A 13,265-nucleotide genomic window follows, 5' to 3' on the forward strand; every position below is an offset into this window, starting at 1 on the left:
ATCTATTGACTCTGTATAGGTATATACATACTCTACACACACAGACACATGCACACACTCTGGATAGAAACAAAATATATTATTAAAATAGGTAAAATTCCCTTGCCATGAGTGACTTTTGTGATTTCAGAACTAACCAAGTATTCTTACAATACATCAACACTTTTTGCTTATTGGAGAAGCTTCCTCAAAGCCAAAATGAGAGAGAAATCTTTAAAAAAAAAAAAAAAAAAGTGGGATGCAATTTTCATTGCTTGCTCTATGTTCCCATTCACTGGTTGCTTAGAGAAATAAATCAAAGTGACAACGAGTTGAAATGGAAATCAAATTTTGCTAGCATTTTCATTCAAAGAAGAATTCTTCAAAAAGCCGAAATTAGAAGAAAAAATGAAAGTCATCCTCACTGCTAATGAAATGTTCCCTTGCTGTCTTGCAGGATGTGGCTGCAAGAAAAACAACTTGGACTTAACCAGAAACTCAAAATACACTGCATTTTCAACTTAGTAATTAGGCTTATATGGGATGTCACAAACAGTGATTGTTACAATGGACTGGCTTTGAAATGCATACTCTGGATTAAATGGTACTTGAATGGTGAAGGCACATTCTGCAGGCATGGCTAATCTATGTGAAATGATGGTGCTGGGGAAGCCACTCCTGCTGGCTCTGACTAAAGCCTGTCCCCATGCACCTGCTGGAAGAGCAGGTGTTTTTTTTCCATAGATCTGATTTTAAAAATAAGGTTAAAAGATGACAGCTGTGAGAAAATGAAGCCATCCTCTAGAGAGTAGCTGCCTTATGGGATAAGGAAAACAGTTCTTGGAAGCAAACCCTGCAGCACTTTATTAGTCAGGTGTGAAAGGAGAGCTGTCTTCTCTGGAACTTAGGCTGAAAATTTTTCTTTTAACCCTCACCTTGGCAATATAATTTTTTACTCTTCGAAAAGTAAAGAAAATGAACCTCTGTGGCCATATATTCTTTTCACATTTTTTGACAAATATTTATTGAGCAATTATTTAAATGCTATAATTGACAATACTAATATGAACCTAAAAAACTAAAGAACTCTATGTATAAGGAAATTTTAATGTACATTAACTAAAACATTGTAATCCAGCATTTAGCACTTCTACACACATGTGAACAGGCTGTTGTTATTATCTGCTGAGGTCATTTGGTGGTACTGCTCAGGGTTACTAAAATTTTTACCATGAATAACATTTAAAAATCAAATATATTTTGTACGATTTCTACTTATACAGGACATGGATACCATGAAGCAATTTAATGATAAAGAAGATACTTTTCCTACATTGAGAGAGCTAAGAATCTGATGGAGAAAAGAAACACACAATAAAATTCAAGTCCAAGTGGTTTCTTAATTTCCCCAGTTGGATTTCATCTCTCTGTTCTGCACTTCTAGGACACTTTCAACAAGTACCTGAACTTGTCCTGGAAGTGCAGAACAGAGAGAAATGAAATTCATCTTGGGTAGTTAGGGAACCATTTAAGGAGATCATAGTTGAATCTGGGTCTCAGCCTCAACGTAAAGAAAGATTAGTGAAGCACAATGAATAATCCAGCAGAAAGATGGGTAGAAACAGTGAAAAGCCCAGAGACCAGAAAATTTGGAGAGTGACAAACAATAATACGGTGTGGGGTGGGAGTAGGGGAAGGGGATATTTTAGCAGAAGATTAAGATGAATCTTCTGCTAAGAAGTAATCTGGCCTCGAATACGCTATCATGCTAACAAATGTGGACCTTATTTTTGTAGAAAATTTGGAAACATCAGCAGTTTTGAGCAGTAGAGGTTCATGATTTTAATGAAGCTTTAGTAAGATAATGCTTGTGGCTATGTTGAGGACAGAAAGACCAGTTTGGAAGCTATCATAATACAGCCAACCCCTGACTTAAGATGACTTTACTTAAGAATTTTTGACTTTACAATGGTGCAAAAGTCATACACATTCAGTAGAAAACATATTTTGACTGTCCATACAACCGTTGTTTTTCACTTGTAGTATTTAATAACATACATGAGATATTCAACAACTTTATTATAAAATAATATTTGTGTGAGATGCCTTTTGCCCCACTATAGTGTAAATTAAGTGTTCTGAGCACACTTAAGGTAGGCTGTGCTAATAAGCTATGATGTTCTGTAGTTAAGTGTACTAAGTGCATTTTCAACTCAATATTTTCAGCTTAAAATGGGTTTATTGGGATGCAACCCAACATAGGGAAAGGAGCATCTGTAGTTGCAAGAAATAATATTTTAAGAGGCAAGAGGTAATTAAGTTTCAAATTAGTGCAGTGGAAGTAAGAATGAGGTAGGATGCAGATATCGGTAATGTGAAGAAATAGAATTAGTATTGGTTGTTAGCAGTTTGAGTTTTTGGTCAGCTATTCATATGACGATGTCTTGACCACTATTAGAAATTCTGATCAGGGGTCAAGGGAAACCAGGGTTGGAGATGTAGATCTGAGAGTTCTCTGCATTGAATTTATGAGTTAGCCATTTAGGTGTAGATGGATGCTGTCCAAAGGAAAAAAATGTAGCAATCCTAGATAGAGAACCTGGGAAGATACCAGTATTTAGGAGTTGGCTTAAGAAGCAAAGTCATCAAGGGAGTATTCACAGGAATACAGAAAGGAGTGATAAGTAGTGGTCCAGGCTATGGAGAAGCCAAGTCAGATGGACTGAAGAAGGAAGAAGTTGGTCTTAGTAATATGTGATCATTTTGACAACTGGTAGAGAAGATTCAGAGACAGTGCGATAGCCAAGTCCAAACTGCTGTGGGTTGGGAAATAAAGAACTGAGAAAGGAGAGTCAGTGAACAGAGATGACTGTTTATGGCATTCAGTATTTAGGATGAGAGAGTACATTGAGTGAGAAGTAGAGGAAAATGGGATTTTGGGTGGTGGGTGGGGGTGGGGGTGGGAATAAGGACACAAGAGAATGTCCCTGGAAGGCTAGACAACCTGGAAAAGGAGAAAATAAAGAGTGAGAGAGAGGATCTAAGATGGGTAAAGACAAACACGTAGTTGAAGTATATGGGTTGCCATGGTGAGGTAGAGAGAATGTTTACAAATGCAGAAGGTTTTGAGATGGATGACAAGAAAGCCCACAAAGTTGAGAAACTGGGAAGTACAGCAGTTAAAGGTGATGGGCCAAGGCAGATAGAAGCAGGAAGAAAAGACTGGAAATGAGACTGAATAAGGTTTAGAGAAGGAGACCTGGTTGTTGAAGTCACTCAAGAGGAAGGCAAGAGCAGAAAAGGAGAAGAGAAAAATCTTATAACTAATTGGTGTTACTATCTCTATCAGGCTATAGGTAGCATGTGCATACATTTATACATGTACATACATGTACACACATATATGTCATGCATCACAACTATAGGGATATGTTCTGAGAAATATGCCATTAGGCAGTTTCATCATTGTGCAAATATCATAAGAGGACTTACACCAACCAAGATGGAATAGCCTACTACACACCATGCTATATGGTGTACCTTATTGATCCCAGGCCATAAAACTGCACAGCATGTTACTGTATTGAATACTGCAGGCAATTGTAACACAATGGTAAATATTTGTCTATCTAAACATAGAAAAGGTACAGTAAAAATAGTGTTATAGGTCAGGCTCGGTGGCTCACACCTGTAATCCCAACACCTTGGGAGGCCAAGGCAGACAGATCACATGAGGCCAGGAGTTCGAGACCAGCCTGATCAACGTGGCAAAACCCCATCTCTACAAAAAATACAAAAATTAGCCAGACATAGTGTTTCATTATCTGTAATCCGAACTACTTGGGAGTCTGAGACACAAGAATTGCTTGAACCTGGGAGGTGGAGGTTGCAGTGAGCTAAGATTGCACCACTGCACTCCAGCCTGGGTGACAGAGAAAGACCCTGTCTCAAAAAGAAAAAAAAATACAGTGTTATAATCTTATGGGACCACTACTGTATATGTGATCTGTCATTTACTGAAATGTTATTATGTAGCACATGATTATACATACATACATATATATATTCTATAATACCTATGAAATTTTAATATTAATTCCTGTTCCTGCTTCTTTTTTCAGAAATGAGATTACATTTGGGGAAGTATTTTCAAGGTCCTAAAATCAAGTTGTTATAATGAGAGAACAGAGAAGACTCTGTAATATTTCACATTATGTAGTGTTTTTTTCAGTCATCAGAACACTTACACATATTACATGGTTTTATAACCCTGGGTACTATTTAGGCAGGAATTTTTTTTCTATTCTGCAAATGAAAAAAACATGTTGTGGCCACACAGATCTTCATATTTTGAAACCCAACCCACAGCATTTTTTACGGTAAACTATATATCACACTGCCTTTCTGCTCAAAGACTTTAAATGATTTTTTCTATGCAAAATTAAAATATGAAATATTTTCAGTGTTCAGGTTCTTATAAACTGAGTTTATATGCATATTGGTATATTAATATACTCCTTATAATTTTTATGAAATTTCAACATTCATTACATGTTCCTTTGAATTCCAAGAAAATCTTTCATTGCATGAATATTACCATTATCTCACTTTCCAGCTTTCTCAAAGCCGGGCACTGTGAGGAATGCCTCAGACTGGCAAAAAAAAAAAAAAAGTTAGGATGTTACTGGAGAGAAAAGAAACTGCACTTTGATAATATTAATTATTTAGCTGAAAGGTATGGTTCAAATATTCAAGAAGCTTTTGGCATTTCCCACATTACAGTCAGGCACTAGAACGTAGCAACACAGAAATGTACTTGTTACCTGAGGCATGTTTTAATTTGGGGTTCAATGATTCAGTCCTACATGACCAACTAAAATAAAAACCTATATTCTGGAAGTTGGTTTGTGAGGACTTTGGGGTTAACAACTCTGAACAACTTAAGCACTACCTACCAGAGTATGCTGCTTGTTTTCTTTGGCTTAGAATTGTACATAGGTAGAAAATGATGAACATCCATTCAATTGTGACATCTTTTCTTTGTCATTTCATAGAAAAGGGGATATGTCATCAGTTGGGCAGCAATAAGAACTGCATTCTTCTAAAGTGGATTTTAAAGTTATTAACCCAGAGTTTCATCAGGGTTCCTTTTAGTAGGACCAATATCAAGGGACAGTTTCTGTTGCATCTGACCTGCAATTTATTTTTTATCAAGTTATGTCAGAACTAAAAAGTGGTGGGGTTAAGAGCATCAGTGCTTTCTGCAATGTCAAGGAACCCATTTTTGAATACTAGTTCTTTCCCCATGGTTCTGTCTGAGGCATGTAATTTAAAAAGTCTGCCGTATTATTTTGGAGGTTAAGCTGAGCACTTCTTTGGGTAATTGGGGTCATCTTCCAGTGGGCAGTACTTGAACTGAGACAATTCTGATTTTAATTTTTTTTTCTGAGGATATCTTGAGAGATGGCAGTGAAAAAGTCAGAATAGAATGCTCTATTTTTAAGAAGGATTTATGAATGTTTTAAAAAATTCTTTGTCCCACATATATCTAATTTTTTTATACGTACAGAATTGTTCATTTCAGAACTTTTTAGGAAGTACTTTTAAATGTTTCTGATATAGTTCTTAGAAGTAAGATTATTCATTCATTCACTCCATTCCTTTTGATTTTCTTTGATATTAGTACATGTGAGGCGAGCAGAAAAAATAAAATCTGCCTTCTAAAAACACTTTGCAGGGCCAGGCGTGGTGGCTCACTCCTGTAATCCAAGCACTTTGGGAGGCTAAGGCGGGCAGATCACGAGGTCAAGAGATCAAGACCATCCTGGCCAACATGGTGAAACCCTGTCTCTACTAAAAATACAAAAATTAGCTAGGCATGATGGTGAGTGCCACTCGTCCCAGCTACTCAGGAGGCCGAGGCAGGAGAATTGCTTGAACCTGGGAGGAAGAGGTTGCAGTGAGCCGAGATATTTTGCATCTTCTCTTTTATTGCAGGATTTTTAAGAACTTACTTTTGAAATGCTGCAGAGCTGTGGTGCTGCAGAAAATGGATATTCAGCATAGTGAGACTTAACTTTCAATATGAATTTGATTGAAATCAGATGGGAAAACATTCTGGATCATTCTTCCTTCTCCTCTTGTCTGCTGGATATTATCTCTATAAATAAAAATAACCCCTGCAAAATGATAATTTGCATAATGATTTTCTTATTGCTTTTTGTAGGAGAAAAAAAAATAACAAGAAAATGACCATGGAAAGTAACAACAACTGAAAACGGATAAAATGAAGATGTGTGAAAGAGCACAAGAGTGCAAAACCAAAAGTATACAAGGAGTGTTTATGCAGTAACCACTTTAGAATGCCTTTCCTCATGTTTGAAGACTTCTAAACTAGGGCAAGGACAGATCCCAGCAACTACTGGAAGCATAATAAAGGAGAAGAATGAGGCATTTTCTTCTCTCATATACAGATTATATGTAATTAGGATGCTAAGGATAATTTTGTAACATAAAAACGGAGATGCTAAGGAGAATGGTTTCACCCTAGTTTATAGAAGGAGGGTATACTATGGTCTATCAAAGACTGAAAATTGTCCTCTGCTAATAAAGTCTCAAATCAGGGCAATTGGATTTCTTTCTTTTTTTTTTTTTATTATACTTTAAGTTTTAGGGTACATGTGCACAATGTGAAGGTTTGTTACATATGTATACATGTTCCATGTTGGTGTGCTGCACCCATTAACTCATCATTTACATTAGGTATATCTCCTAATGCTATCCCTCCCCACTCTCCCAGCCCCACAACAGGTCCTGGTGTGTGATGTTCTCCTTCCTGTGTCCATGTGTTCAATTCCCACCTATGAGTTGAGTTAGAGTTACTAGTCTCAAATAAATGCTTGGTAATGCCATACAATCTAAACATGTTGTCACTGTCAACTCACTATCTCATATTCTGCAATGATACCCTTCTATATTCTGAAATTCCTTCCCCATTCTCAGCAGATAGCCTCAGATCATATATCATACACACAATTGAACATATCACATAGAAATTTCATCAGCTCACTGCCTCCAATCCAATGAACCTAACATCTACTAACATCAACACCATCCAGGAAACCATGACCTCACCAGATGAACTAAATAAGGCACCAGGGAAAAATACCAGTGAAACAGAGACATGTGACCTTTCAGACAGATAATTCAAAATAGCTGTGTTGAGGAAACTCAAATTCAAGATGATACAGAGAAGGAATTCAGAATTAGATAAATTTAACAAAGAGATTGAAATAATTAAGAATCAAGCAGAAATTCTGGAGCTGAAAAACGCAACTGGCGTATTGAGAAATGCACCAGAGTCTCTTAATAGCAGAACTGATCAAGCAGAAGAATGAATTAGTGATGTTGAAGACAGACTATTGGAAATGCACAGTCAGAAGAGAAAAAAGAAAAAACAATGAAGCACGCCTACAGGATCTAAAAAATAGCCCCCAAAGGGCAAATCTAAGAGTTACTGGCCTTAAAGAGGGGGGGCTCAACACCCAAGTACAAAAAGGTTAGAGAACACCAAGTAGATTTAATCTAAAGAAGACTACCTTGAATCGTTTAACAATTAAACTCCCAAAGGTCAAGGATAAAGAAAGGATACTAAAAGAACCAAGAGAAAAGAAACAAGTAACATACACTAGAGCTCCAGTACACCTGGTAGCAGACTTTTCAGTGGAAACCTTACACACCAGGAGAGTGACATGGCATATTTAAAGTGCTAAAGGGTGGAAAAAAAGCCTTTTACCCTGGAATATATCTGACAAAAATATCTCTCAAACATGAAGGAGAAAATAAAGACTTTCCCAAACAAAAACTGAAGGATTTCATTAATACCAGATCTGTCCTATAAGAAATGCTAAAGGGAGTACTTCAATCAGAAAGAAAAAGCCATTAATGAGTAATAAATAATCACCTGAGGTACAAAACTCGTAAGTATACAGAAAAACACAGAATATTCTAACATTGTAACTGTGGTGTGTCAACTACTCTTATCCTAAGTAGAATGACTAAACGATGAATGAATCAAAAATTATAATGACAACAAATTTTCAAGACATAGTCAGTACAATAAGACATAAATAGAAACAACAAAAAGTTAAAAAGTAGGGGGACCAAGTTATGGCATAGAGTTTTTATTAGTTTTCTTTTTGCTTGTTTATTTATGCAAGTAGTGTTAAGTTGTTAACAGGTTAAAATAATGGGTTAAAAGATAGTATTTGAAAGCCTTATGGTAACTTCAAACCAAAAAACATACAATGGCTACACAAAAAAATAAAAAGCAAGAAACTCTCATATCACCAGAGAAAATCACCTTCACTAGAGGAAGACAGGAAGGCAAGAAAGAAAAGACCACAAAGCAACCAGAAAACAAATAACAAAATGGCAAGTGTAAGTCCTTACTTGTTGATAATAACACTGAAGTAAATGGACCAAATTCTCCAATCAAAAGACATAGACTGGCTGAGTGGCTGAAAAAACAATACTCATTGACCTTTTGCCTATGAGAAACACATTCAACCTATAAAGACACCCATAGGCTAAAAATAAAGGGCTAGAAAAAGATATTCCATTCCAATGGAAACCAAAAAAGAGCAGGATCACTATACTTATATAAGACAAAATAGATTTCAAGACATAAACTGTAAGACAAGAAGTTCACTACATAATGACACAAGGGTCAATTTAGCAAGAGGATATGACAATTTTAAATATATATGTACCCAGATATATTAAGGAAATATTACTAGAGCTAAAGAGAGAAACAGGCCCCAATACCATAATAGCTGGAGACTTCAACAACTTACTTTCAGCATTAAACAGATCTTCCAGACCAAAAATCAACAAAGAAACAGACTTAATCTGCACTATAGACTAAATGGATATAATAGATATTTATAGAACATTTGATCCAAGAGCTTCAGAATACTCCTTTTCCTCAGCACATGGATCGTTCTCAAGGATAGATCATATATTAACTCACAAAACAAATCTTAAAACATTCAAAAAAGTTTGCATTATCAAGTATCTCCTCTGACCACAATGGAATAAAAATTAATAACAAGAGTAATTTTGGAAACTATAATACATTGAAATTAAACAATGTGCACATGAATGGCCGGTGGGTCAATGAAGACATTGAGAAGGAAATAGAAAAATTTTGTGAAACAAATGATAATGGAAACACAACATCCCAAAATCTGTGGGATACAGCAAAAGCGGTACTCAGAGCGAAGTTTTTAGCTTTAAGTGCCTAAATCAAAAAAAGAGGAAAAACTTCAAATGAACAATCTAACAATCCATCTTAAAGAATTAGAAAAGCAAAAGCAACCCAAACCCAAAATTAATAGAAGGAAAAAAATAATGAAGATCAGAGCAGAAATAAATGTTGAAATAAAAAAATACAAAAGATAAGTGAAACAAAGTCAGTTTTTTGAAAAGTTAAGCAAAACTGACAAAACTTTAGCCAGACTAACTTTGGAAAAAACAGAGTAGATACAAATAAAATCAGAAATGAAGAAGGAGACATTACAACTGCTACTGCAGAAATTCAAAGAGCCATTACTGGCTACTATAAGCAACTGTAGGCCAATAAATTGGAAAATCTAGAAGAAACGGACAAATTTCTAGTCATACAACCTACTAAGATTGAGCTGGGAAAAAATTCAAAACCTGAACAGACCGATAACAAGTAATGAGATTGAACCCATAATAAAAAGTCTCCCAGTAAAGAAAAGCCCAGGACCCAAAGGCTTCACTGCTTAATTATATCAAACATTTAAAGAACTACTATCAATTCTACTCAAGCTATTCTGAAGAACAGAGGAGGAAAGAATACTTCTAAACTTATTCTATGAGGCCAGTATTACCCTGATACCAAAATCGGACAAAGACAAATCGAAAAGAACTACAGGCCAATATATCAGATGAATATTGATGCAACAATCCTCAACAAAATACTGGCAAACTGAATTCAACAATAGATTAGAAAGATCACTCATTATAACCGAGTGTGATTTATCCCTGAGATGTGAGGATGGCTCAACATATGCAAATCTATCAATGTGACACATCATATTAACAGAATGGAAGATAAAAACCATATGATTATTTCAATTTTTGCTGAAAAAGCATTTGATAAAATTCAACATCCCTTTATGATAAAAACCCCCAAAAAACTAGGGATAGAAGGAACATAACTCAGCATAATAAAAGCCATATATGACAGACCCAGAGCTAGTATCATAGTGAATGAGGAAAAACTCAAAACCTTTCCTCTAAGATCTGGAACATGACAAGGATGTCCACTGTCACCACTGTTATTCAATACTGTATTGGAAGTCCTAGCTACAGCAATCAGATAAGAGGAAGATATAAAGGGCATCCAAATTGGAAAGGAAGAAGTCAAATTATCCTTGTTTGTAGATACTATGATCTTATATTTGGAAAAACCTAAAGACTGCACAAGAAAACTATTAGAACTGATAAGCAAATTCAGTAAAGTTGCAGGATACAAAATCAGCATTCAAAATCAGTAGCATTTCTATACGCCGACAGTGAACAGTGTGAAAAAGAAAAAAAAGTAATCCCATTTACAATAGCCACACATAAAATTAATTACCTGGGAATTAACCAAAGAAGTAAAAGATCTCTATAATAAAAACTATAAAACATTGATGAAAGAAATTAACAAGGACACAAAGAAATGGAAATATATTCCATGTTCATGGATTGGAAGACATAATATTTTTAAATTGCCCATACTACACAAAGCAATCTACAGATTCAATGCAATCTCTATGAAAACACCAGTGATATTCTTCACAGAAACAGAACAATCCTAAAATTTATATGGAACCACATAAGACCCAGAATGGCCAAACCTATCCTAAGCAAAAAGAACAAAACTGGAAGAATCACATTACCTGATTTCAAATTATACTACAGAGCTGTAGTAGCCAAAACAGTGTGATATTGGCATAAAAACAGATGTATAGATAAATAGAACATAATGGAGAACCCAGAAACTAATCCACTCACCTAGAGTGAACTCATTTTTTGACAAAGTTACCAAGAACATACACTGGGCAAAAGACAGTCTCTTCAACAAGTGATGTTGGGAAAATTTGATATCCACATGCAGAAAAATGAAATTATACCACCATCTCTTGCAATATGTGAAAATCAAATCAAAATAACAAATCTAAGACCTCAAACTATGAAAACACTACAAGAAAACACTGAGGAAAATCTCCAGGACATTAATCCGGGCAAAAATTTATTGAGCAATACCCCACAAGCACAGGCAACCAAAACAAACAAACAAAAATGGGCAAATGGGATCACATCAAGTTAAAAAGCTTCTACAAAGCAAAGGATACAATCAACAGAGTAAAGAGACAACTCACACAATGGGAGAAAATATTTGCAAACTACCCATGGGGATTAAACCAGAATATATAAGGAGCTCAAACAACTCTGTGGGAAAAAAAATCTAATAATCTGATCAAAAAAGGGGCAAAAGGTTTCAAAAGATATTTCTCACAACGACATACAAATGGCAAACAGGCACATGAAAAGGTGCTTAACATCATTGATCAGAGAAATGCAAATCAAAAATACAATGAAATATCATCTCACCTCAGTTAAAATGGCTTATATCCAAAGACAGGCAATAACAAGTGCTGGTGAGGATGCAGAGAAAAGGGAACCCTTGTATGCTGTTAGTGGGAATGTATATTAGTACAACCAATATGGAGGATAGTTTAGAGGTTCCTTAAAAACTAAAAATTGAGCTACCATATAATCTACCAATCCCCTGATGGGTGTATACACAAAAGAAAGGAAATCAGTATATCAGAGATATCTGCACTCCTATGTTTGTTGCAGCACTGTCACAGCTAAGATTTGAAAGCAACCTAAGGGTCCATCAGCAAATGAATGGATAAAAAAATGTGGTACACATACACGGTGAGTGTACATACACACTATTCAGCCATAAAAAAGAATGGAATCCAGTCATTTGCAACAATATGGATGGAACTGGAGATCATTATGTTAAGTGAAATAAGCCAGGCACAGAAAGACAAACCACATATTCTTACTTACTTCTGGGATCTAATAATCAAAACAATTGAATTCATGAACACGAGAGTAGAAGGATGGTTACTGGGGGCTAGTAAGGGTGGGTTGGGGGGCTTGGAGGGAGGTGGGGATGGTTAATGGATACCAAAAAGTAGAATGAATAAGACCTACTATTTGATAGCACAATAGGTTGACTATTATCAATAATAACTTAATTATACATTTAAAAATAACTAAGAGTGTAATCGGATTATAACTCAAAGGATAAATGCTTGAGAAGATGAATACCCCATTTTCCATGATGTGCTTATTTCATATCGCATTCCTTTATTAGAACATGTCACTTAACTTGTAAATTATATACATTTACTATGTACCCACAAAAATTAAAAATATTTTAAAAAGAAACCATTAAAAACCCAGCAAACTTACCTATATCTGTACTCATCTTTTTCCTCTTTCCTATTTCATCAGAGAAGTCATAACATCTAAATCTAGTTTTTCCCAGTATATGAGGAATGTGCCTCAACACAATAAAGGCTTTATATGACAAACTCACAGCAAACATTATTCAACAGGAAAAACTTGACAGCTTTTTTATTTAAAATGAGGAACGACATAAAGATGGCTTCTCTTACCACTTCTATTCAGCATAGTACTGTAAGTCCTAGGCAGAGCTATTAGGCAAGAAAAAAAATAAAAGGTATTGGAATTAGAAAGAAATTGTGTTTTTCAGATAACATGATCTTATATTAAAAAAAAAACTCGAGAGACTCCACCCAAAAACTGTTAGAATAAATTCAGTAAAGTTGCAGGATACAAAATCAGTATACAAAAATGTAAGTAGCATCTCCATACACTGACAATCTGAAAAAGAAATTGAGAATACAATCTCATTTTTAATAGCCACAAAAATAATAAAATACTTAGGGATAAATTTAAACAAGAAGGTAAAAGGCCTATATACTGAAAACTGTAAAATACTGATGAAAGAAATTGAAGACACAAAGATTTCCCATGTTTATGGACTGAAAGAATACTATTTAAATATCCATACTACAAAAGTGATCTATAGATTTAATGCAATACCTAGTAATAATTAGCTTAACTTAGCCATTCTACAATGTATACGTATTTCAAAACATCATTTTGTA

At 35.2% G+C, this 13,265-nt stretch overlaps 1 annotated feature.

Moving 5' to 3' along the window:
• Window positions 274-830: an enhancer, noted in NCBI's record as "NANOG hESC enhancer chr14:63033845-63034401 (GRCh37/hg19 assembly coordinates)". NCBI's record gives its function as "activates a minimal SCP1, AML or CMV promoter by ChIP-STARR-seq in naive H9 embryonic stem cells {active_cell/tissue: H9 hESC(naive)}" and the evidence as "EXISTENCE:reporter gene assay evidence [ECO:0000049][PMID:30033119]".

This window comes from Homo sapiens, chromosome 14 (genome assembly GCF_000001405.40).
Source record: "Homo sapiens chromosome 14, GRCh38.p14 Primary Assembly".
Taxonomy (NCBI): Eukaryota; Metazoa; Chordata; class Mammalia; order Primates; family Hominidae; genus Homo; species Homo sapiens.